This window comes from Homo sapiens, chromosome 10, assembly GCF_000001405.40.
Source record: "Homo sapiens chromosome 10, GRCh38.p14 Primary Assembly".
Taxonomy (NCBI): domain Eukaryota; kingdom Metazoa; phylum Chordata; class Mammalia; order Primates; family Hominidae; genus Homo; species Homo sapiens.
Window position 1 is genome coordinate 27,563,990 of NC_000010.11, and position 25,691 is coordinate 27,589,680.

Consider the following 25,691-nt stretch of genomic DNA (forward strand, 5'->3'; position numbering starts at 1 on the left):
TCAGCCTTCCAAAGTGCTAGAATTACAGGTGTTAGCCACTGCACCCAGCCTCTATTATTATTTTGAACATTTATTGGTTAGAAAACTGAGTAATAAGAAAAGTAAAAGTTTTTGTCCAACCATATCTTATTCATTTTCCAGTGCTAATCTTTTCTTTATGTAGATCTGAGTTTCTGACCTGTATCAGTTTCCTCCTCTTTGAAGAACATGCTTCAACATTTCTTGCAAGGCAGGTCTACTGGCAACAAATTTGATTTTTGTTTGTTTGAGAAAGTTCATTTCTCCTTCACTTTTGAATAATTTCTCAGGGTACAGTATTCTAGGTTGGTGGCCTTTTATCTCAAAACTTTAAACACTTCCCTTCACTCTATTCTTGCTTGCCTACTTGCTGAGGAGACATCACATGTAATTCTTATCTTTGCTCCTCTAGAGATAAAGTGTTTTTTTTTCTTTTGCCTTCTTGAAACACTTTATCTTTGATTTTTCTTCAGTTTGAATATGATATGCCTACATGTAGGGTATGTGTGTGTGTGTGTCTGTGTGTGTGTGTGAGAGAGAAAGAGAGACAGAGAGAAAGAGAAAGAGAAAGAGAAAGAAAGAGAGAGAGAGATTTATCCTGCTTGGTGCCCTCTCAGCTTCCTGGATTTGTGGTTTGGTGTCTGACATTTATTTGAGCAAAATTCTCAATGATTATTGCTTCACTTAATCTCTTCTGTTCCTTTCTCACTTCTTCGTTTTCTGTTTTTCCAATTTGAATATTTCTATTGACATTTCCTCAAACTTAGTGATTCTATCCTCAGTCATATTCAGTCTACTAACAAGGTCATCAAAGGCTCTTCATTTCTCTTACAGTGTTTTTGATTTCTAGCATTTCTCTTTTTAAAAATTGTAGTAATAGCATTTAACATGAGACCTATTCTTTCAACAAACTTTTAAGTATTAGCTATAGACATTTAATTGTACAGCAGATGTCTGGAACTTATTCATCTTGTATAACTAAATCTTTATACCCAATGAATATCAACTCCCCATTTCCCCCTCCCCGCCGCCAGCCTCTGGCAACCAGTCTTCTTACTCTCTGTACGGGTTTGGCTTTGGCTATTTTTAGATACTTCATGTAAGTGGAACCACTTATATGAAGCATCTAAAAAAGTATTTGTTGTCCTGTGACTACCTTATTTCACATAGTGTAATGTCCTCCACATTCATCCATGTTGTCTCATACTGTAGGATTTCCTTCTTTTCTAAGGCTGAATAATACTTCATTGTTTGCATATATTTTCTTTATCCATTCATCTGTCAATGGACATTTAGATTATTTTCCACATCTTGGCATACATAAATAGAGTTCCTTATCCTTAGTTCAGGTCTTCGTTAAAACCTGAACTTCTCCATTACCACTGTAATCTGTAACATTAACATTCTCTAATGGATCTCTCTGAATCTGACCTTCCATCATTCAGTCTAACTATTACATTGTTAGTAGTGTATTTTTCTAAAAGGCAAAAATAATAATCCTTGGTAATAGATGAGTAGCTCATAAGAGGCTTAGTCCATTTTGTGCTGCTAAAACAGAATACCACAGACTGGGTAATTTATAATGAACAGACATTTATTGGCTTATAGTTCTGGAGGTCGAGAAGTCCAATATAAAGTACTAGCATCTGGTGACGGCCTTCTTATGCATCATAATGTGGTGGAATACATCATATGGATGAGAGAGACAGCAAGAGGGGACAAAACTCATCCTTTTATAAGAAACCCACTCCTAGGCTGGCGCAGTGGCTCATGCCTGTAATCCCAGCACTTTGGGAGGCTGAGGCAGGCAGATCACCTGAGGTCAGGAGTTCAAGACCAGCCCGGCCAACATGGTGAAACCTCATCTCTACGAAAAATACAAAAATTAGCCAGGCATGGTGGCATGCACCTGTAATTCCAGCTACTCAGGAGGATGAGGCAGGAGAATTGCTTGAACCCAGGAGGCGGAGGTTGCAGTGAGCTGAGGTCACACCACTGCATTCCAGCCTGGGCAACAGAGTGAGACTCCATCTAAAAAAAAAAAAGAAAAGAAAAAAAAGAAAAGAAAAGAAACCCACTCCTGTGATAATAAACCTACTCTCACAATAATGGCATTAATCCATTTATGAGGGCAGAGCTTTTACAAACTAAACACCTCTTAAAGGTCCCATCTCCCACCACCTCCACATTGGGGATCAAGTTTCCAATACATGAACTTTAGGGGACACATTCAAACCATGGCATAGGTTAATCTTTTACACAATTGAAATTCACTAGAAAGGTGAACAAACAAGAACATGGAATCCATAGTCAAGACAAACAAACGCTGAGATATTTGAATTACCAGACAAAATCTTGGAAGGAGCTATTATGGTCATCTTCAAAGACTTAAAGGGAAATGACCACAATGACTAAACAAACTTATAATTTTATTGGAGAAATGGATAAAAGAAATCAAATGGAAATTCCAGAAATGAAAAGTACTGTATCTGAAATGAAATGTTTTCTGGGTGGGTTTAGCCAGTAGACTAGAGATGGCAAAAGAAACTAGCATGAACTGAAGATGAGTGAACTGAAGGTAAAATCAAAAGCTAGAGAGAAAATTTTGAAAATAGCCAAAGGAACAAGGATACAGATGGTGTCTTATATCTCATTTGAGCAGTGGAGCCCAGAGATAATGGAACAACATATTAAATGTGTTGAGATGAAAAAAATTTGCTTGCCCAGAATATCATATCCATCTAGAATATCATTCAAAAGAGAATGAAGAAATTTTGTGATCAATGAAAGCTGAGAGATTTTTTTTTTTTTTTTTTTTTGCCAGCTCATCAACACTACAAATCTAAAGCTGAAAGCTCAGGGTACGGTAATGACAGATGGAAACTTCATTACAGAAAGCAATGAAGAACACCCAAGTGGTAAATATGTGGGTAAATATGGAATATCAGATATCTATTTTTATCTTACTTTAAAAAAAGAAAACTGTTTTTCAATAGCAAAATAACAGCTAGTGCTTATTGAGATATTTCAATGTTATTATGTCATTTCACACACATTAATCCACTTAATTCTCATAATAAACCTCTTTTATAGAACATTATCTCAACAGCTGCAAAATATGCATTCTTCTTTTTGTTTTTTTTAAAAACAAGGTCTTGCTCTGTTGCCTAGGCTAGATTGCAGTGGCATGATGATTGCTCACTGCAGTCTCAAACTCCTGGGCTCAAGCAATCCTCCTGCCTCAGCCTCCCAAGTAGCTAGGAATACAGGTGCGTACCACCATGCCAGACAATTTTTATTTTTTGTAGAGATGAGGTCTCACCATGTTGCCCACATTATTCTTAAAAGCATATGGAATGTTCACCAAAATGTATCATATCCTGAGCCATGAAACAAGTCTGAATACATTTCTAGTAATAAAATCTTACAGAGTATTTTTTCAGACTTTAACAGAATCAAAATAGAAATCAGTAACAAGAAAACTTCTTTATTCTTTTTATTTTATTTTAAGTTCTGGGATACATGTGCAGGACGTGCAAGTTTGTTAATAGGTAAATGTGTGCTATGGTGGTTTGCTGCACCTGTCAACCCCTCATCTAGGTATTAAGCCCAGCATGCATTAACTATTTTTCCTGGGGCTCTCTCTGGCCCTGCAACCGCCGGCAGGCCCCATTGTGTGTTGTTCCCCTCCCTGTGTCCATGTGCTCTCATTGTTCAGCTCCCACTTATAAGTGAGAACATGTAGTGAAAACTTCTTTATTCTCATCAAAAATTTCAGTAAGATGTATCTGCTATGAGTTTCTCCTCACAACTTCTGCTAGGGTTTCAGTGGACTTGTGTTCTCTATTTTCTTTGTCTCTTAACCTTTTCCCCATCACTTTATTACTTCTTATTTTGCACTGTATCCTGGAGGATCACTCAGCTTGCATTTCCAGGTCGCCACTTTAATCTTCACATATTTCCTTTCTGTATCTTAGCCCACAGATTGAGATTTATCTGTGGAGTTGGGGGATGACAATCATTTCTATTTTCCAACCACTCTGATCACTTTTTCAAAGAAACTTTTTCTTGTTGTGATAGCTTCTCCTTTCTCTGAGGATACTAATGATTATTTTGCAGTCTTCTCTTGTTTCCTTTGTAAATTCTGTTTCCTCATGTGTTAATTCTTTTTCACATTGTTATTTTCTCAGCTATCTGGTGATTCTTAGATGTGTGTTTATATTGATGAGGGAAGATTACCATTTCAGTACTTTTAAGTGAAAGGTATTCCCTCCGTAAGTTGAAAGTGCTTGGATTCCTGGAAGTGAATGTGGATTCCAAGGTTATACAGGGAGGGTCACAGAGGATGTGCATGAAGCTGAGCTTCCCTCTAGGGAAGTGGTACCTTGTCTTGTGGGTGCAGGTCTGCTATTTTTTTTTTTATCAGCTGCAATTCATGTGTGAAGTTACCTCATTTCTGTGGCCCCAGCGTTTTTGTCTCTGAATCTTTCAAATCAGGACTCGTAATTTGTTTAGAGGAATGTACTGTCAACATATTGAAAGAAAAAAGAACAACGTTTCCACATGGTCCCCTAGTTTGTAATCACAGAAACATGAACTTTGAGAACTGGAAGGGCTATCAAGAGTTGAGGGAATGGAGTCATAAGTCAGTAACTTCTCACCAGGGATGGAGACATGTGTTAGTTTCCTGTTGTTACCAAACAAGTAACCACAGACTTAGTGGCTTGAAACAACACAGATGTATTGTCTTATAGTTCAGGAAGTTAGAAGTTCTAAAATCAAGGTGTTGACAGGGCTGCATTTTTCTGGAATCTCAAGGGGAAGGTCTACTTCCTTGCTGTTGTGGGCTTCTAGAGGCCGCCCACATTCCTTGGCTAGGGTCTCTTCCTCCAGCTTCAAAACCAGCAGCACTGTCTTCAGATCTCTCTCTTCCTCTAATCTCTGCTTCTGTCATCACATCCCCTTCTCTGAGTAAGATCCTCCTGCCCCTCTCTTGCAAGGACCCTTGTGAATACATTGGCCCTATCCAGATAATCCAGGGTAATATCTCCATCTCGAGGTCCTTAACTGTATTAGTCTACTCTCACGCTGCTGATAAAGACATACCTGAGTAATTTATAAAGAAATACCTGGGTAATTTATAAAGTAATTTATAAAGACATACCTGGGTAATTTATAAAGAAAAAGAGGTTTAATGGACTCACAGTTCCACATGTCTGGGGAGGCCTCACAATCACGGCAGAAGGTGAAAGGCATGTCTTACATGGCAGCAGACAAGAGAATGAGAGAGTGCCAAGTGAAAAGGGAAACCGCTTATAAAATCATCAGATCTTGTGAGACTTACTCAGTACCACGAGAACAGTATGGGGGAAACCACCCCTGTGATTCAATTATCTCCCACGGGGTCCCTCCTACAACACGTGGGAATTATGGAAGCTACAGTTCAAGATGAGATTTGGGTGGGGACACAGCCAAACCAGATCCTTAACTAAATCGATTTTGCAAAATCCCTTTTGCCATGTGAGATTCACTGGTTCTGGGGATACAGATGTGACCATTTGGGGGAGACCATTATTCTGAGGTGTGTGTCTCTTTTTGAGCTGGTGGGGCACAGCAGTGGGTGGTCTCAGGAGCACTGAGGATGAGGCATCTTAGGTTTGAACATTAGAGTCTCTAATTGTTCCTCTACCCTTTCCCTGTTGGTCTTCCTACTTTCCCCTATCTCCATACTCTCACAATGATAAGCATTCTTACTGAGCCCGTACGTTCTCTTTTCCAGCTGGTCTTGGCTCATTCCTGCTCCTCCCTGCTAGTATCTCAAAGCCACCTTACAGGAATGTAAAAGCCACACTACCCAATTACTGCAACTCAAAGGATAAATGTCAACATCTATACAAAGTATTGTCAGAAAGAGTGTGAAAAAAAGGTAAGGTTCTTTGTGGAGTCTGTACAGGCCTGTAAAAATCCAATTTATGTACCAGAAATGACTACATATGTTATGCAATAGAAATACCTCTACCAAATCCTGACATGTATATGTGTTGGGCCTGCATTTAATCGAGGGTCGTCTCTTTAGATTATGATGTGAAATTCCCATTTGAGGTCTTTGATGGGAACCACATGGCAGAGCTTTGCTGCTTAGCTGTAGAGCGGGGCAGCCCCGCTGCTGCACAATGCATCCTGTGTAGCTTTCATGTTTGACAGATGGCCTGCTTTTCTGTGTATATTATCAGATGCCTCCTTCTCAAGCTGTAAAATCTGATGATAGAGCCCAAATTTAATATATTCAACCTGAGCTGTTGATAGAATTAAAAACTTATCAGCCAAAGATGTCATGTTTACTCAACATCAGAAACAGAGTACTTTTTAATGTTGTTTTTGTTGATCTGGCCAATATACTCTCCAAAACGTTGTGCTCTGAAGAAAGGGCAGAGAAGCAAAAGAACAGATAGAGGAGCAGTGGGAAGTGGTGTCAAGTCCTAGCAAGGTCATTCCATTGTGGAGGGAGGCCAGCTGACATTTCATTTTGTAATACTTAACAAGACAGAAGGGCTGGGTGTGGTGGCTCATGCCTGTAATCTCAGCACTCTGGGAGGCTGAGGAGGGAGGATCGCTTGAGCCCAGGAGTTCGAGACCAGTCTGAATAACATAGGGAGACCCCATCTCTACAAAAATCAAAAATTAGCCCATGTGGTGGCATGCACCTGTAGTCCCAGCTATTTGAGAGGCTGAGGCAGGAAGATCACTTGAGCCCAAGGGTTCAAGACCAGCCTGAGTAACATGGCAAGACCCCATCTCTACAAAAAATACAAAAATTACCCAGCCGCGGTGGAGTGAGCCTGTAGTCCCAGCTACTTGGGAGGCTGAGGTGGGAGGATCACTTGGGCCTGGGAGGTTGAGGTGGTAGAGAGTTGTGATCGTGCCACTGCACTCTAGCCTGGGCGATGGAGTAAGACCCTGACTCAGAGGAAGAAAGAGGAAGAAGAATAAGAGGAAGAAGAAGAAGGAGGAGGAGGAGGAGGAGTAGACAGTATATGATAAATAATTTCACAGAATAAACATTATTTCATGTATGCTCTTGATTGCAACACAATTTTTCTTTTACAAATTTTTTAAAAATTATGAAATAATTCAGACATATAGAAAATAGCAAACACTTAGGTGCTTAAGATCCAGATTTAACACATCTTAACACTTGCCTTATTTACTTCAGATATTATTAAAAATAGGACAAATGTAGTTAAAGTCTCCTTTGTGTCTTTCCATGACAGGAACATCCTCTTCCCATTCTGTGGGTCTGGCCATTCTTCTCAAGTTGACATCTTTCTCATCTAAACTTTTGCCTCTTAGGAAGTTTCTGTGCAGTCATAAAAGTAAACATTATTGGCCAGGTGCAGTGGCTCACGCCTGTAATCCCAGCACTTTGGGAGGCCGAGGTGGGTGGATCACTTGAGGTCAGGAGTTCGAGACCAGCCTGGCCAACATGGTGAAACCCCATCTCTACTAAAAATACAAAAAATTAGCCAGGCGTGGTGGCGGGTGCCTGTAGTCCCAGCTACTAGGGAGGCTGAGGCAGGAAAAGCTAGCTGGGCATGGTGATGGGTGCCTGTAATCCCAGCTCCTCGGGTGGCTGAGGCAGGAGAATCACTTGAACCCTGGAAGAGGAAGTTGCAGTGAGCCAAGATTGTGCCACTGCACTCCAGCCTGGGTAAGAGAGTGAGAATCCATCTAGGAAAAAAAAAAAAAGAAAAAGTAAACATTATTGTTTGGTGTGTTTGAAACTTTACATAAATGGCATTATACTGCACCTATCATTTTGCAACTTGATTTTGTTACTCAACATTGCTTTTGAGATTTATTCATAAGGATACACGAAGCTTCAGTTTATTCATTTAAATGGCAACGTTCTGTTTCATTGTAGTAACATGCCACATTTTATTTACCTATTCTCTTACTGATAGGTACTGAAATTGTTTCCAGTATTTTGCTATTTTTAAAAAAAAAGCTGCAAAGAATCTAGTTATTGCTTTTCTTGTTTTGTTTGTGTGTGTATTTGCTTTCTAGTTTGTTAATTTCTGTAAAGGTTTTCACTTTCAACTTTTTAAAAAAGATTTACTCCGTTAATCTTTTTCTAATACCCCCTCCCCCTTTTTTAGAGACAGGGTGTTGTTCCAGGCTGGAGTGCAGTGGTGCAATTATAGCTGACTGCAGCCTGGAACTCTTGGGCTCAATTGATCCTTCAGCTCCAGCCTCCCAAGTAGCTAGTACCACAGGTGTGCACCACCATGCCCAGCTGATTTTTAATTTTTTTTTTTTTTTTTTTTTCCAGACAGAGTCTTGCTCTGTCGCCCAGACTGGAGCACAGTGGGGCGATCTCGGCTCACTGCAAGCTCCACCTCCTGGGTTCAGGCCATTCTCCTGCCTCAGCCTCCCGAGTAGCTGGGACTACAGGCGCTTGTCACCACGCCAGGCTAATTTCTTGTATTTTTTAGTAGAGACAGGGTTTCACCGTGTTAGCCAGGATGGTCTCAACAGTCTCCTGACCTCATGATCCGCCCGCCTTGGCCTCCCAAAGTGCTGAGATTACAGGCGTGAGCCACCGCGCCCGGCCGATTTTTTTTTTTTTTTTTTTGGTAAAGATGGAGTCTCCCTATATTTCCCAGGCTGATCTTGAACTCCTGGCCTTAAGCTATCCTCCTGCTCTGGTCTCCCAAAGTGCTTAGATTATAGGCATGAGCCACTGTGCCCAGCCTCCTAGCCCTTTGAATTAAATGGCTAATTCTTCAGGCAAAAAGTTTTATCAGAAATAAAACCTTAGTACGTTTTCATAGGTTTTAATGTGCTATATATTCCCTGCCATTTAATTCCAAAATTTCAAAATTTCCATTGTGAGTTTATCTTACAATTATCAGTTGTTTGTCACTTTGACTTTTAGTTTTCAAACTTGTGCTGTTAATTTTTTTGGAGAGGAAGATTCTATTTATTATTAATTTCTAACATTGTTGTAGGAATCTGGTATAAGACGTGGGATGTGTGCATTGCAACTCTTTGTCCCAGTTTATACCTGCTGCCTAATCGTAATTATTATGTCCCCTTTTACCTCAAATGTGTCCCAGTTGTGCACAACATATTATATGGTTATGGTTTGTGTGCATGTGTGTGTGTCCGTGTGCATGTCATTGTCTCATTAAAATCTCCTCTATCAAGAATAACTTTTTGTCTACTTGACCTATCCGTTTAAGATGGAAGTGTGTTAAAATCTCCCACTCTGATTTTAATTCAATTTCATATCTCCAGTCTTGCCCTCTTACCTGAACTCCAGACTCTTGTATCCTTCTTGTACCCTCTTGTACCTCTACGTCACACCTTCAAGGGCCTGTCCCTGTCTGATAAATCTTAAATGTTACATGTGCAAACAGAATTCTTGATTTTTCTTGCAAATAGCTCTTTGCTCAGGGATCCACCTCTCAGGAAGTAACACCTTCTTTTGTCCAGTCATTCAAGCCCCAAATCTTGTAACCATCTTGTCTTTCTCTTGATTTGTTCATCATATCAACAAACACATCTTCGGGGGTTGGGGGTTTTAAGAGAGGTTGATTAATGGATACAAATATACAGCTTGATAGAAGAAATAAGATTTATTAGGCTTCTTCCAGTTTGGGGAACTTCTATTTCTACATGATTTGGTGAGATTTGATATATTTTTCAGGACTGACCCCTAAAGAGAATTATTATTTGGGTGCAAAATTTGAAAGAGCCAAGTAAGAAGACAAGCTTTCCAGAGCAATTGCCACCATATTTTTCAGCTCTGTATTCCAGAAACACAAGATTGTCATATAAGAAACACAAGTAAGAGATTTTCTCCAATAACAATAACATCAAAACTCCCTTAGACTGCAAAAAATTAAATAGATTATAATTAAGAAAATATTTTAAACAAAATCCAGCTGTTAATCTAAATGCTGATGTTTTTCCTGTTTATAATAGTCTGGATTGAAAAGACTCAAGAAGAATACCTCAGGGTAGAATAACAACTTATTAATCTTATCATTTTCACCTAAATTTTCCTGAGCAGAGGTGCATTCTGCTTGGTTGATATAATTATCATAATAACAGTAAAAGTAACAAAGGAGGCTCTATTTAAACCGATAATTAGAACTTAGCTAATATCATCTGGAATATTTTGTAAGTTCAAATATTTACTGTAGGAATTAATTGATTGGAAAGTCCTATTAAATGAAATTTAATAATATTTTTAAGTAAATTTAAGTAAAATGTATTTTTAAATTATACAAATAATATAGATTCATTTAAGAAAAGTTAGAAAGTTTAGATAACCAAGGAATATGAAAGTATAAGAGTAAGCTTACATATTACTGATTCCTGGTTTGTCACCCCAAAATGCCCTCAAAAGAAAGATCAAATAAATACTATCTGGGGGACAAACTTAGACAAGTCTTTAAATTAGGAACAATGCCAACTGTACTATACAAATGTCACAGAATTCCTGCTGCATACATTACAGTTTGGATCAAGTGAAGGAAGATGGGAGAGTCATGGGTCTTTTCCTTTTCTAAGAAAGCAGTGCAGTATTTTTGGAAGTAAGAAAAAGACATTCTGTTGATGAGGGAGGGGAACAACACTGCAAAGGATGCATCTGGAAGCATCCATGGATCACTGGGGAGTCTCACATACTGTGGTCCCATCTTCCTGCTGGAGATCATGGAGAAGCTAAAGTGTGTAAGAGGCAGTGATAGAAGGAAAAACAAATGCTTCTTTTCTACCATTTTTCTATTATCTGGTGACTTCTTTGAAGCATGGGGCTGTTTAGTACTAGGGGATGTCCCCAGTCTTCAGGGGCTGAGTCGTTAAGATAAGAAATAGACCAGGAAAGAAACTAGATGAGATTTACTTGGGGCTATTTCTAGACCTTTGAACTAGCAGTAGCAAAGGGAAAAACTAGGAGGAAAGTTATGAATACCCTTATCAAATGAAAGCCTATATTCACTACAATTTTTTTAATCTGAAACTTTTCATTATTTTTATTTTTTATGAACAAGGCCTTGCTCTATTGCTCAGGCTGGAGTGTAGTGGCACAATCATAGCTTACTACAGCCTGGAACTCCTGGGCTCAAACAATCTTCCCACCTCAGCCTCCAGAGTATCTAGGACTACAGGCATTCACCCCTAGGCCCAGGTAATTTAAAACATTTTTAAAGAGACGAGGTCTTGCTATATTGCCCAGGCTGGTCTTAAACTCCTGACCTCAACTGATCCTCCTGCCTCAGCCTCCCCAAGTGCTGGAATTACAGGCATGAGCCACCATGCCTGGCCCTGGTTTTAAAAAGTCATTGAAATTCTTGGTGGCTGGTTAATGCAGAGAAACAATTGAAATCATAGTCCTCTCTTCTTGGTAGACCATCATACACCACCAGCATGCTATAATGGCAGCAGAAACATCATTACAGGAAACCAAACAAGCTAAAAACATACAATAACATCAAAAACAGAAATAAAGTTGCCAAAGGCAAAATTCCAGCGCTGGTTGGCCCCCATGATACTCATATCCACCTGTACGACTCAGACTATGGAATGATCAAGAGACAACAATGTAAATCTGCATCTTTCAGGTCATTTTAAAATTAGTTTTGGACATGTAATACACATGTTTAAAAAATTCACAAGCTAAAATAATCATTTTAATGATGAGAAATTATCATTTTTCCTCTTTATTACTTTTTAATTATAAAAATAATATATACTTGTTATAAAAAAACTCAAACATTTAGGAGGGATCAAGGTAAAAAGTTAAACTATATTAGTTCCCTATTGATGGAGATCATGGAGAAGCTAAATTCTATAAGAGGCAGCGATAGAAGAAATGCTTCTTTTCTACCATTTTTCTATTATCTGGTGACTTCTTTAGTCACCATATAAATTACCATAAACCTGGTGGCTTAAAGCAACTTGGATTCATTCTTTTTACAATTCTGAAGGCCATTAGTCTTTAATGGAGTTCCCTGGGCCAAAATCAGAAAGTCAATCAGGCAGCACTCACTGGGGACTTTGGGGAGAATCCATTTCCTTGGCTTTTTCATCTTTTGCGGGATATCCTCATTCCTTGGCTTGTGGTCACACCACATCACCTCTCCTACCTCTGATCTCAGTGTCACCTCACTTTCTCTTCCTTGTAAAATCTCCCTCTGCCTACCTCTTATAAGGATCCTTGTGATTACATTTAGAGCCCACCCAAAGAGTCTCTCCCCAGCTCAAGATCCTTAACTTAATTATATCTATAAAGTCACTTTTGCCACATAAGATAATATATTCACAGGTTCTGGGGATTCGAATGTGGACATTCTTGTGGGGGGCATTATTTAGCCTTCCACATGAGACCTCCTCCACTTATTCCAATTCTGCCCCATCCCTCTACTCAGAGCAAACCACTATCAACTTTTAGGGTTGTATCTCAATACCTTTGTTATGTTACACGTCTATATTCCCACATGACTTTAGGGCTCCTCTGCAGGTGCATAGAGCAACCAAGAATCAAGCGTTCAGGAATTTGTAATTATGTCACCTGGAGAGCCATGCAAATGTAACATGTGTCCAAAATGCACTCAAATCATAAGCACTACAAAAAAATTAAGATGAAATTCTTGCCCAATCACTGCTAAGTGGACCACAAAAGCATTTCAGTTCATAATATTATTTTATTTTACTTCTCAAAATAGGTCCCAGTCCTATTCTCTGTAGGTCTCAGAATAACCAAAGAGAAGTAAATCCCTGTTTCCAATGAAAGCACAATGGAGGGGAGAGACGTGGGAAGGGCAGGTCCTAATTCTGAAGCCAAAAGGATGTGGGAAAACCCAAAATATTAAACTGCGATCAGCATCGTGGCACACATTTTGCGTTTTCCTTTGACCCTGTTGTCCAATAAATGAATGCCTTTAAAATTTTTATTTTAAAATAAAATATTTTATTTTGTTCTTAAAATACTTCATTTTAGGGAGCACAATTTGATTGGGCCATGTAGTAGGTCTGGTGATATTTCAATAAAAGGATTTCTTTTAGCTAACTGAGGGGAAAACCGGGAGAAAAATGATTCCTAAGTGGAGTTAAGATTCACATTAGGGCCGGGCACAGCGGCTCACTTCTATAATCCCAGCACTCTGGGAGGCCATGCCTGCAGATCATGTGACGTCAGGAGTTGGAGACCAGCCTGGCCAACATGATGAAACTCCATCTCTACTGAAAATACAAAATTAGCTGGGCATGATGGCACATGCCTGTAATCTCAGCTACTTGGGAGTTTGAAGTAAGAGAATCATTTGAACCTGGGAGGCAGAGTTTGCAGTGAGCCGAGATCATGCCATTGCACACCAGCCTGGGCAACAAGAGCAAAACTCCATCTCAAAAAAAAAAAAAAAAAAAAAGAGATTCACGTTAAGCAGATTGTGGTGGCTCCTGCCTGGAATCCCAGCACTTTGGGAGGCCAAGGCAGGAAGATTACTTGAGGCCAGGAGTTCAAGACCAGCCTGGCAACAGTGAGACCCCATCTGTACAAAATAAATAAGTAAATGAATAAACAAAATAAAATAAAATAAAAAATAATTACTTTCGTGGAGTTCACTAATCCTGGTTGTCTTCTGGTTTCTATTTCTCCTGATTTATTTTCCTTTGGTGAGAGAATCTCTGATCTTTTGGCCAAAGACATGACTACTCGGAATAAAGTCTACATGGTTTAGTCTCCCTTGGTAGGTACTTCTACATAAGTGATATTTGTCAAAAAGATTCAAGGGCAAGTAGTGCACAAAATTTCCAGTATGTGCCTTCCTCCCTTCCTGTATCCTACTAAAATATAAACCTGACAGCAAACCGTCTTGGACCACGTCATGAGGACAATGCTGTATGGATAGCAGAGCAACAAGATAGAAACAGCCATGGTCCCTGGTAACTCCGAGGAATAGAGCCCCTTGAGTGGCTTAATTCTGGACTCTTCTGCAAGAAAGGAATAAAACTCAGTTTGGTTTAAGTCACTTTATTTCATGTCTCCATTGCATACATCCAAACTTAAATCCTAATAATCCCTGGACATTTAATTTTTGACATATTATAATTAAATCAAAGTAGAAAGCAGTCACTCCTTGTCAGTTACTGAATGAAAATCCCCAAATGTTTCTAGCCTGCTGAGAGTTATCTTCTACCAAACATCAGGAGGTCTGGGAGGTAGGTCCATTGGCTTGGGGGAGATGAAATTTTATGGGATTGACGTAGTAGTGGTGTGGCAGATAAACTTAAAGGTGGTCCCACGACCCCTTCCTGTTGGTATTCAGGCCTTTGTGTAATTGTTTTCTTCTTAGGTGTAGACCAGACCCATGACTTGCTCCTAAACAACAGAATATGACAAATGGAATGGCACGTCACTCCCATGATTATGTGATGTTATATGACTGTGTCTTGCTAGCTGGCTGGCTCCACAGACGTTCTCTCTCCCTTGCTGGCTGTGAAGAAGCAAGCTGCCAGAACTCCTAAAGCCACATGGAGCTCATTGCTGCCAAAAGGAATTGGGAAGCAAATCCTTCCCTAGCTGAGCCTCCAGTTGAGAGCCAGTCCTGGCCAACACCTTGAATGTAGCCTTGTAAGACCTTCTGAGGAGGACCAAGCTATGCCGTATCCAGATGTGTGACCTGCAGAAACTCTGAGGTAATAATTGTGTGCTGATTCAAGCTCCCATGTTTGCAGTAATTTCTTACGCAGCATAGAAACATAGACTACAAATGTCTGGAAAAGAATAGCATGTGGCTTTTTAGCCAACCTGTGTGTGATTTCAAGGGAGCAGGAGATTTTAGAGGCAATTAGTCTTATAAAGGATATATGAGTCCATTTTGCACTGCTATGAAGGAATAGCAGAGACTGGGTAATTTTACAAGGAAAATAGGCTTATTTGACTCATGGTTCTGCAGGCTGCACAAGAAGCATGGTGCCAGCATCAGTTTTTAATGCGGGCCTCAGGACACGTACAGTCATAGTGGAAGGCAAGAGGAGCTGGATGTGGCACACCTTAAGAGAGGAGGCAAGACAGAGGGTGCAAGAAGTTCCAGAATCTTTAACTACCAGATCTTATGTGAACTTATGACTGTGGGGAGGGCACCAAGCCATTCATGAGGGATCTGCCCCCATGACCTCCCACTAAGCCCCACCTCCAACACTTGGGATCACATTTCAACATAAGATTTGGAGGGGGAAAATATTAACATTATTAATATCTGAATTCTATTAGAGACGAAAGGGAAATTTTCCCACACGCTAAACATTCTAAGTTGACTAGAGAAAGATAAGGATGTATATAGAGTAGATTTCTAAGACCTATACTATTTTTAAAACCTGGTGGGATTTGGGACAACGGTGAAGAATGAAGCATATCAATAATAAAGACATCCTCTTTTCACTTTTATCAAAAAGGATAATGACGAGAGATATTGGTACCCAGAGTAGGATAGAAATATACTTGATGAGAGTAAAAGATTTCGTAGAGATGTCAAGAATGAGAGATATGTGTCAGTTTAAATTTTGTTTTAACTACAGGTATTTTGACTATGAAGCTAACCTTTTCCTTTTCCAAAATGGAAGCATGCCTTCTGAAAGGGAAATTGTTAATTACATGTGCATGGATATGGACTCATCGGGAGCTAATTATTTCAATAGAAATGCTTGGAGGTTTCAAAAATATTTGTTTATTGGGAATGTAAACTTGTGGCCTTAAAATTGATGAGAGATAGTTCCTCCTGATTTTGGCAGGCTCCTTTCTCTAAAATTAACTGGATAAATCATATTATAGAGAAAAAATATAGATGCTAGAGAATACAAACAACACCCACAAAGGAGAAACTCCTATGGAAATGGAAGAAAGTTTTGAAATGAAGTGGTGGTTATGGTTTGTGGATGGGTGCCTAGTGGCTAGGGTCTGAGGCAGAGGGTATCTGGGCTATGAGGGGTTTAAAGAAAAGTTTGAAAAATTCAGTTCTTGCCGATCGTTCTTTGCTGTGCAATTATTATTGATAACTGCTTCCTGCAGAAACCAGTGACAAAGACCCAAAGGTGGTACACACACCTATCAGGTGAGGAGTTGGGAAAAAATCTGGAGACTGTGTAGCCCTGGGAGCCACACTCTCCCACTTCCCACTATTATACTGCCATCATTCTTACCTGGGTCGCACCGGCAGAGATTCTGATGTAACTGACCTAGGCTGATGACCTCAGCATCATCGTTTTCAGAGCTTACCAAGTGATTCTAACATGCAAGTCTTGATCTGAAGGTGTTGCTTAGTGACAAAGGAGGGTGATTAATTTTGGTTTTATGATGCCTGAGACTTTCTACCCTAAGGCTCATGCCTGTTCACTCCTTGTACTCACTTCGAATGAGAGATCCAAGTGTGGGTTTCTGCAGGCGTTTGAGCCCTTTCTCAGCATACCCTATATGATATCCCTGGGAGAGAATTATTTCATTAGCCAAAATAATGAAATATTTATGGAACTTAATTATCTTGAAAGAAAAACAACAAAACAAAGATCCCTGGAAGTATTAGAACACATGGATGAAAATATTTAAATAAATTTATTATATAGATTAAAAGACATAATGGACAAAACATGGACATACTGGACAATATTTGGAATCCCATTTCAACTTAAGATTTGGAGAGGACAAATATCTAAACTACATCAGAGGGGAAAGAGAAATTTTCAATATGAAACAGAAACACAAAAACAAAGGAACCTAGTACAAATATTAGGTATGAAAAATTAGATAATTAAAATAAGAAACATAGAAGATGGTATAAATAGTAGAATGGATACAGGTGAAGACCCAACTGATGAGCTAGAACAGATGGAAAAACCATCCCAAGAAGAAAATAGGAGAAGACAAAGAAATAGAAAATACAAAAGAAAAGTTAAGAGATATGGAGAATAGAAGTAGAGGTGCTAACTTTTACAGAAAAATGATTCCAGAAGGAGAGAAAAATAATGATGGAGAAAAGAAAATATTTAAAGATACAACGAGGAACTTTCTCCAGAATTAAAGAAGTAGGAAAGACTTCAGATTGTGAAGACTCCTAATGTACCAAACAAGAGACAAAAGGAAAAAGGTGTTTGATAGACTTTGTTTCCCTAAGTACTGATTACAGGATTACAAGTGTGAGCCACTGTGCCAGGCTGAATGCATACATTAAAAAAAAATGCTGAAAGTTAATGAGTCAGGCAAAATAAGCCATCAAAATAAATCAAAGAAAGTGCAAAAGGGAAAATTAGTATTTTACAGCTGTGAAAATAAATTAACTACAGCCACATACAATAATGTGAATAATAATTTGGTCATGTTCAGCGAAAAACGACTGTATTTAGCATGATACTTTGTTTTTTGCTTTGCTTGCTTATTTGTTTTTTATTATGGTAAAAATCATTTTACAAAAAATTTACTATCTTAATCTTTTTTTTTTCTTCATGCATGTTCTGCTTATGTATTCTATCTCGACCATTATAAGTATCCATTTCAGTAGTAAGTATAGCCCGTTGTTGTGAAACAGCTCTTGAGAACTTTCTCATGTTGTCAGTCTGAAACTCTATACCTGTTAAACAACAACCTCCACTTTTCCTTTACCCTTTAGTCCCTGGTAACTGTTTTATTCTGTTTCATTGAATTTGATCGTAGATATCTTATATAAATAGAATCTTATAGTATTTGTCTTTTTGGAGTGGCTTATTTCACTTAGCATAATATTCAAGGTTTATTCATGCTGTAACGTGTGATAGAATACCCTTTTTTTATTTTAATTATTTTTATTTTTAGTAGAGATGGGGTTTTGCCGTGTTGCCAAGGTTGGTCTTGAACTCCTGAGCTCAAGCGATCAGCCTCCCGAAGTGCTAGGATTACAGGTGTGAGCCACTGCGCCCGGCCCCATTCTTTTTTAAGACTGAATAGTATTATATTGTATGTAGGTACCACATTTTTAAAATCTATTCCATCTGTTGATGGACATTTGTGTTGCCTTCACCTCTTGGTTATCATGAACAATATTGTTATGAGAATGAAATATATATTTTTTAAGTTCAAAGAACATACAAAACTATTTATTTTAGTCATCAGATAAAAATATCCTAAGAAATTAACAGAATGCTAAATAGAAAATTCAGGGTGATTGGTCATTTGGGAGCAGGACTTGAAGGCTGGGGAATGAAATGAAGAGATGTGATGATCAGAGTTATGGCTCTCCAATTGGCCAGGCACTAATGACTATTTATAATATTATAATAAATACATATGTAAGCAAATAACATAAATTAAAAAGAATTATGCATGAACCAATGAAGACAGTGTACCATAAACCAAAGGTTTTGATTTATTCAGTTGTGTTCACCTGAGATTCATTAGAAAAACAAACACAGATGTCTTCTGTGATGTGTATCTGTTTGTATGTGCTCAGGAAAGTGGTGAATAATTTGTTCAATTTATTTTTTAATTCATAAAATTCAGAGTATATTGTTTTTTATTGTATTTTCAATGGATTTATTCAGGTATAATTGTGCACATATGTAAAATGAACAATTTCATCAGTTTTAACATATTTATACACTCATGAAACCATCATTACCATCAAGATAAAGAACATAGCCATAATCCCCAAAAGGTTTTTCCTGCTCCATTCTAATCCCTCCCTTCTGATCCTCCCTATCACCCCAGGCAACCACTGCCATGTTTCTTGTTCATATAGATTAGTTTGCATTGTCTAGAATTTTATATAAATGAAATAATATATACTTCTTTTGGTCTGGCTTCTTTCACTCAGAATAGTTATTCTGAGATTTAACAATCTTATTGTTGCATGTATCAATAGGCCATTCCTTTTTATTGGTGGGTAGCGTTCCATTGTGTGCACATAGCAGCTTCTTTACCCATTCACCCTTTTAATTTAGCCATTTTAGTAGGTGAGTAATGGTATCCCACTGTAGTTTTAATTTGTGTTTCCCTAATAACCAATGATAGTAAGCATCTTTTCATGCGGCTATTTGCCATCAGCTTATCTTCTTTGGTGAAATGTCTGTTGAAATTTTATGAGTTTTTTTCATCGAGATATTTTATTTTTGAAGTTTGACAGGTCTTTATGTATTTTAGGTACAAGTCCTTTATCAGATATGATTTGCAAGTCTGTAGCCTTTTTATACTCTTTTTTCTTATTTCATGTCACATGTTAACACCCATCTTTATGCTCTCAATAGTATATTTTGAAGAGCAGAAGTTTCAAATTTTGATGAAGCCCAATTTATCAATTTATACTAATATGGATTGTGCTTTTTGGTATCTTATTGAAGAAATCTTTGTCTAACCTAAGGCCACATACATTTTCTCCTATGCTTTCTTCTAAAGGTTTTATAATTTTAATTATGTTTCCATCTTTTTCCCTGGGTGTTGGATTCAAAGTGTGGTAAGAAGAATTCTAAGATGGCCCCAATGATTTCTGCTCCCTGGCATTATGTCTGTGATTATATCATGGAATATTGCAGAAGGGATTTTGCAAATGTAATTAAGGCTACTAATCAGTTGATTGTGAGTTAATAAAAAATGAGATTATCTGGGTGGGCCAAACCCGATTACCTGAAGTCTTTAAAAGCAGAGCATTTTCTCCAGCTAGTTGCAGACTAGGAAGTCAGGGATGTAAAGCATAAGATGGACTTGATGTGCGGTTGCTGGCTTGAAGTTGGAGCGGACCACACATCAAGGAAATGAGGACTTAAATCCTAAACTGCAAAGAACTGAATTCTGTCAACAAAAGTGAACCTGAAAGCTGATTCTTCCCCAGAGCCTTTGATGGGAATTCAGCCCAGCTGACACCTTGATGTCCACCTTGTGATACCTTGGGAAGAATCCCTGCCCCACCATGCTGAACTTTTGATCTACAAAACTGTGAGCTAATAAATGGATGTTGTTTTAAGCAGCTAAGTTTGTGGTAATGTGTTACACAGCAATAGAAAACTAACATACATGGTTATCTATATTATTGTAGCTATATCTTTTACATATGCTGTAAAAATTCTTTAGTGTGATTTTATTTTCTAATAAACTTTTTCTTAAAAAAAAGAGAAAGCCAGAAAATAAGTCTCTTGACTTCAGTGGGCCTTCTGAATAGTGCAGGTGTAAAAAGGGGGAACGGAGGGAGTATGAAAAGAATGTAAAGATTTGCCATGCTCAATAATGATGATATGCATTCAAGACATATCATGAGTTATGGGTCATGCCCAAAGCCTTTTAATAATATGCCTTTTATTAGATGACATAAAGTTACCAGCAAAGATTATAACATTGAGCCAAGAATGCATACTAGTATTTATGGAGGCCCAGAATTTGGAAAATGATTCAGTCCTGTTTATTCTATGTAATGATGTTATTTTTGTACTAAACATGAGGGTTGTAAAGGGATTCTATATGTTAGTTTAAATGTGTAAATATTTCTCTTATAGCATCCTTATGTACACTGACCATGAACATTTTATTTTATGGTGGGCTTGAATTAAATCCATTACAATCAAAGAAGGCATCTGAACCTGGAGTGAGGCTGGCATGGCTGCTAGCATCCTGAATCCATCAGGCACGGAATTGCCACGAGTAATATGAGTGAAATAAGGACATAAAACCCTGGGGCCTTAAGAAGGCAACTCCACTGACTCCAAAAAAACATTTTAACAGATGTTATATGCATGGCACCAAATAAATAAGACCTGATGTAAGTAATCAGCCACAATATGGCATTTGGATACTGAGGTATTTAAAGTTTGGGACACCACTGTAACTTAAATACATGCCTAAAATTGGCCCCTTCCCTTCCCATTCATTTTCTCTCATACCACCATGAGATTAAAATCGCTGAGTTTATTTCCTCTGAGCCTGACAGTCATAAAACATATTCTTTATTTTCAACTTGCTTGTTTTTGATCTCCTGTGATGGTTAATCTTGTGTTTTAACTTGACTGGGCCATGGGGTGACCAGATATTTGGTCAAACACTATTTTGGGTGTTGCTGTGAGAGTGTTTTTAGATGAGATTAACATTTATTTTTATTTTTATTATTTTCAGGACAGGATCTTGCTCTGTCGCCCAGGCTGGAGTGCAGTAGCATGACCTCGGCTCACTGCAATCCCCGCCTCCTGGGTTCAAGCAATTCTCCTGCTTCAGCCTCCTGAGTAGCTGTGACTACAGACATGTGCCACCATGGGTCACCTAATTTTCTGTATTTTTAGTAGAGACAGGGTTTCACCATGTTGGCCAGGCTGGTCTCAACATCTTGGCCTCAAGTGATCCACCTGCCTTGGCCTCCCAAAGTGCTGGGATTACAGGCATGAGCCATGGTGCCTGGCTGAGATGAACAAACAGTTAAATTGGTAGGCTGAGTAAAGCAGATGGCCCTCCATAATGTGAGTGGGCCTTATTCAATCAGTTGAAGGCCTGAATACAACAAAAAGCTAACCTCCCTGGGCAAGAGATAATTCTTCTGCCTGGTGGCCTTCTGACTGGTTCTGCAACAGCCTGCTGGCCTTTGCACTCAAACTGGGATGTCAATTTTGCAGATTTTGGACTTTGTCAGCCTCCATAATTGCATGAGCCAATTCCTTATAATAAATATCTTTACCTGCCCCGCTGCCCTTCCCCACACAATTGGTTCTCTTTTCTCTGGAGAACCTTTACTAATAAATGTCCCAATTTATTTGTCAAGTTTTATACTGACTAACTATCCCCACTATAATGAATGTTCCATAAAGGTAGAGACTGTCTTGTCTGCTATTTATTCCCAGTGTTCAGACTTGCTCTTAATAACTGTGCAAAGAATTACTTGGTGAATAAAAGCATCTCTCTGGGGAAGCAGTGATGCTTTTAGATGATCTGAGTGTGGCACCAAAGGGGACAAATATGTCACCTTGAGCAAATGGCATCTACTTGGGTGAATGGTGAAGTTAATATCATGTTTTGAACATAAAAAGTAAACTTGAAGAAAATTTTTAAGAGATCTAAGGTATAGCTCTATACTAGAAGGGGAAGTTAATGTAAAGCCAGAGGGAATAATCTATTCATGAGTTTTAAATACCGTTTATATATATTTGACAATGATATATGTTGATAAAAAATTTGAGACTCTTAAAGCTTTGGCTAGCACTAAAGTTTGCAATCATGCATTTCTGTTGCCCTAAAGATCTTCAGGCCTCCCCAAATCATCCAGCTCAAAGCGAGCCATAAATAAATCAGTGTCAACTGTGGTTACAAATTCTGGATGCCTCTATCAGGAAAATGAAAGGTATAGAAATTAAGGAATAGAATGAAAGCAAACTTTTAGCATGCATTAGTGGTTGTTGGGGCTATGAATGTGAGGCAGGGGTATCGTGTGTCATGTTTGTGAGCTGCTAGTTTCATTGCAAATCACATCTTAGTTCATAGTGTTACTATGATAAATAGTTGGGTTCTGTATTGTAAGCAGTCTTACAAAGCAAAACAAAACAAAACAAAAAACTAATGAGGAATATATCCCGTGTAACTGACTTATTTAATGGGTTAAACAGAGTTGGGTAAATCAGGAAATGCCATAATTTTTTTTTTGTTGACCAGTGCCTTTAAGCAAGCTCTTTCTAGTCCCTCTCTCCCTGCTCATTGATAACATCCCTGGCAGATTCCACGATCTTTGGCTCGCTTTTGGCCATGAGAAGGGTCACATTTTCAGATTTTAAAAGTCCAGTCCCTGTTGGCAGAAATGTAAATTAATAAATGTAAATTAGTCCAGCCACTGTGAAGAGCGGTTTGGAGATTTCTCAAAGAACTCAAAACAGAACTACCATTTGCTCTTACAATGCCATTACTGGATATACACCCAAAGGAAAAGAAATCTACCAAAAAGACACTGGCACTCAAATGTTCATTGCAGCACTAGTCACAATCAACCTAGGTGCCCATCAGTGGTGGATTGGATAAAGAAAATATGGTACAAAGATGGCCGAATAGGAACAGCTCCAGTCTGCAGCTACCAGCTAGATCAATGCAGAAGGTGATTTCTGCATTTCCAACTGAGGTACCCAGCTCATCTCACTGGGACTGGCTAGACAGTGGGGGCAGTCCATGGAGGGTGAGCCAAAGGAGGGTGGGGCATCACTTCATCTGGGAAGCACAATGGGTTGGGGAACTCCCTCTCCTAGCCAAGGGAAGCCATGAGGGACTGTGCTGTGAGGAACAGTGCATTCCAGCCCAGATACTACACTTTTCCCATGGTCTTTGCAACCCACAGACCAGGAGATTCCCTTGGGTGCCTACACCACCAGTACCCTGGGTTTAAAGCACAAAACTGGGCGGCTGTTTGGGCAGACACCGAGCTAGCTGCAGGAGTTTTTTTTATACCCCAGTGATGCCAGAATGCCAGTGAGACACAACTGTTCACTCCCCTGGAAAGAGGGCTGAAGCCAGGGAGCCAAGTGGTCTAGCTCAGTGGATACCACCCCCATGGAGCCCAGCAAGCTAAGGTCCACTGGCTTGAAATTCTCACTGACAGCACAGCAGTCTGAAGTTGACCTGGGATGCTTGAGCTTGATGGGGGGAAGAGCATCCACCATTACTGAGGCTTGAGTAGGTGGTTTTCACCTCACAGTATAAACAAAGGCACCAGGAAGTTCAAAATGGGCAGAGCCCACTGCAGGTCAGCAAAGTCACTGTAGCAAGACTGCCTCTCTAGATTCCTCCTCTCTGGGCAGGGCATCTCTGAAAGAAAGGCAGCAGCCCTAGTCAGGGGCTTATAGATAAAACTCCCATCTCCCTGGGGCAGAGCACCTGGGGGAAGGAAGGGCTGTGGGTGCAGCTTCAGCAGACTTAAACATTCCTGCCTTCCAGCTCTGATGAGAGCAGTGGATCTCCTAGCACAGTGCTTAAGCTCTGCTAAGGGACAGACTGCCTCCTTAAGTGAGTCCCTGACCCCCGTACCACCTGATTGGGAGACACCTCCCAGCAGGGGTCAACAGACACCTCATACAGGACAGCTGGCTTTTGGCAGGTGCCCCTCTGGGACAAAGCTTCCAGAGGAAGGAACAGGCAGCAGTCTTTGCTGTTCTGCAGCCTCGGCTGGTGATACCCAGGCAAACAGTGTCTGGAGTGGACCTCCAGTAAATTCCAGCAGACCTGCAGCAGAGGACCCTGACTGTTAGGAAAACTAACAAACAGAAAAGAATAGCATCAACATCAACAAAAAGGACATCCACACCAAAATCCCATCCGAAGATCACCAACATGAAACAACAAAGGTAGATAAATCCAAGATGATGAGGAAAAACCAGCACAAAAAAGACGAAAATTCCAAAAACTAGAATGTCTCTTCTCCTCCAAAGGATCACACCTCCTCACTAGCAAAGGAACAAAACTGGATGGAGAATGAGTTTGACAAACTGACAGAAGTATGCTTCAGAAGGTGGGCAATAACAAACTCCACTGAGCTAAAGGAGCATGTTCTAACCCAATGCAAGGAAGCTAAGAACCTTGAAAAAAAGGTTAGAGGAATTGCTAACTAGAATAACCAGTTTAGAGAAGAGCACAAATGACCTGATGGAGCTGAAAAATACAGCACAAGAACTTCATGAAGCATACACAAGTATCAATAGCCAAATCAATCAAGCAGAAGAAAGATCAGAGATTGAAGATCAACTTAATGAAATAAAGTGGGAAGACAAGATTAGAGAAAAAAATGAAAAGGAATGAACAAAACCTCCAAGAAATATGGGACTATGTGAAAAGACCAAACCTACATTTTATTGGTGTACCTGAAAATGATGGGGAGAATGGAACCAAGTTGGAAAACACTCTTCAGGATATTATCCAGGAGAACTTCCCCAACCTAGCAAGACAGGCCAACATTCAAATTCAGGAAATACAGAGAACACCACAAAGGTACTCATCGAGAAGAGCAATCCAAAGACACATAATAGCCAGATTCACCAAGGTTGAAATTAAGGAAAAATTGTTAAGGGGAGCCAGAGAGAAAGGTCAGGTTACCCACAAAGTGAAGACCATCAGACTAACAGCACATCTCTCTGCAGAAATCCTACAAGCCAGAAGACAGTGGGGGTCAATATTCAACATTCTTAAAGAAAAGAACTTTCAACCCAGAATTTCATGTCCAGCCAAACTAAGCTTCGTAAATGAAGGAGAAATAAAATCCTTTACAGACAAGCAAATTCTGAGAGATTTTGTCACCAAAAGGCCTGCCTTACAAGAGCTCCTGAAGGAAGCACTAAACATGGAAAGGAAAAACCGATACCAGCCACCGTAAAAACATACCAAATTGTAAAGACCATCAACACTATGAAGAAACTACATCACCTAAGAGGCAAAATAACCAGCTAGCATCATAATGACAGGATCAAATTCACACATAACAATATTAACCTTAAATGTAAATGGGCTAAATGCCCCAATTAAAAGACACAGACTGGCAAATTGGATAAAGAGTCAAGACCCATCAGTGTGCTGTATTCAGGAGACCCATCTCATGTGCAAAGACACACATAGGCTCAAAATAAAGTGATGGGGGAATATTTACCAAACAAATGGAAAAAAAAGCAGGGTTTGCAATCCTAGTCTCTGATAAAACAGACTT

The 25,691-nt window shown here is 39.2% G+C and overlaps 1 long non-coding RNA gene across 3 annotated transcripts; it reads left to right on the plus strand.

Annotated features, from left to right (window-relative positions):
• The first annotated feature begins 2,197 nt into the window (after positions 1–2,197).
• LINC02680 (long intergenic non-protein coding RNA 2680) lies at positions 2,198–20,012 on the plus strand. 3 transcript variants are annotated; one of them, XR_007062094.1, is made up of 3 exons: positions 2,198–2,948; positions 5,798–5,944; positions 14,382–20,012. It is a non-coding gene; the product is annotated as a long intergenic non-protein coding RNA 2680 (long non-coding RNA). The 3 variants fall into 3 exon arrangements; XR_007062095.1 differs by lacking the exons at positions 2,198–2,948; positions 5,798–5,944 and adding an exon at positions 8,764–9,867; XR_007062096.1 differs by lacking the exons at positions 2,198–2,948; positions 5,798–5,944 and adding an exon at positions 13,586–13,775.
• The last annotated feature ends 5,679 nt before the right edge of the window (positions 20,013–25,691 follow it).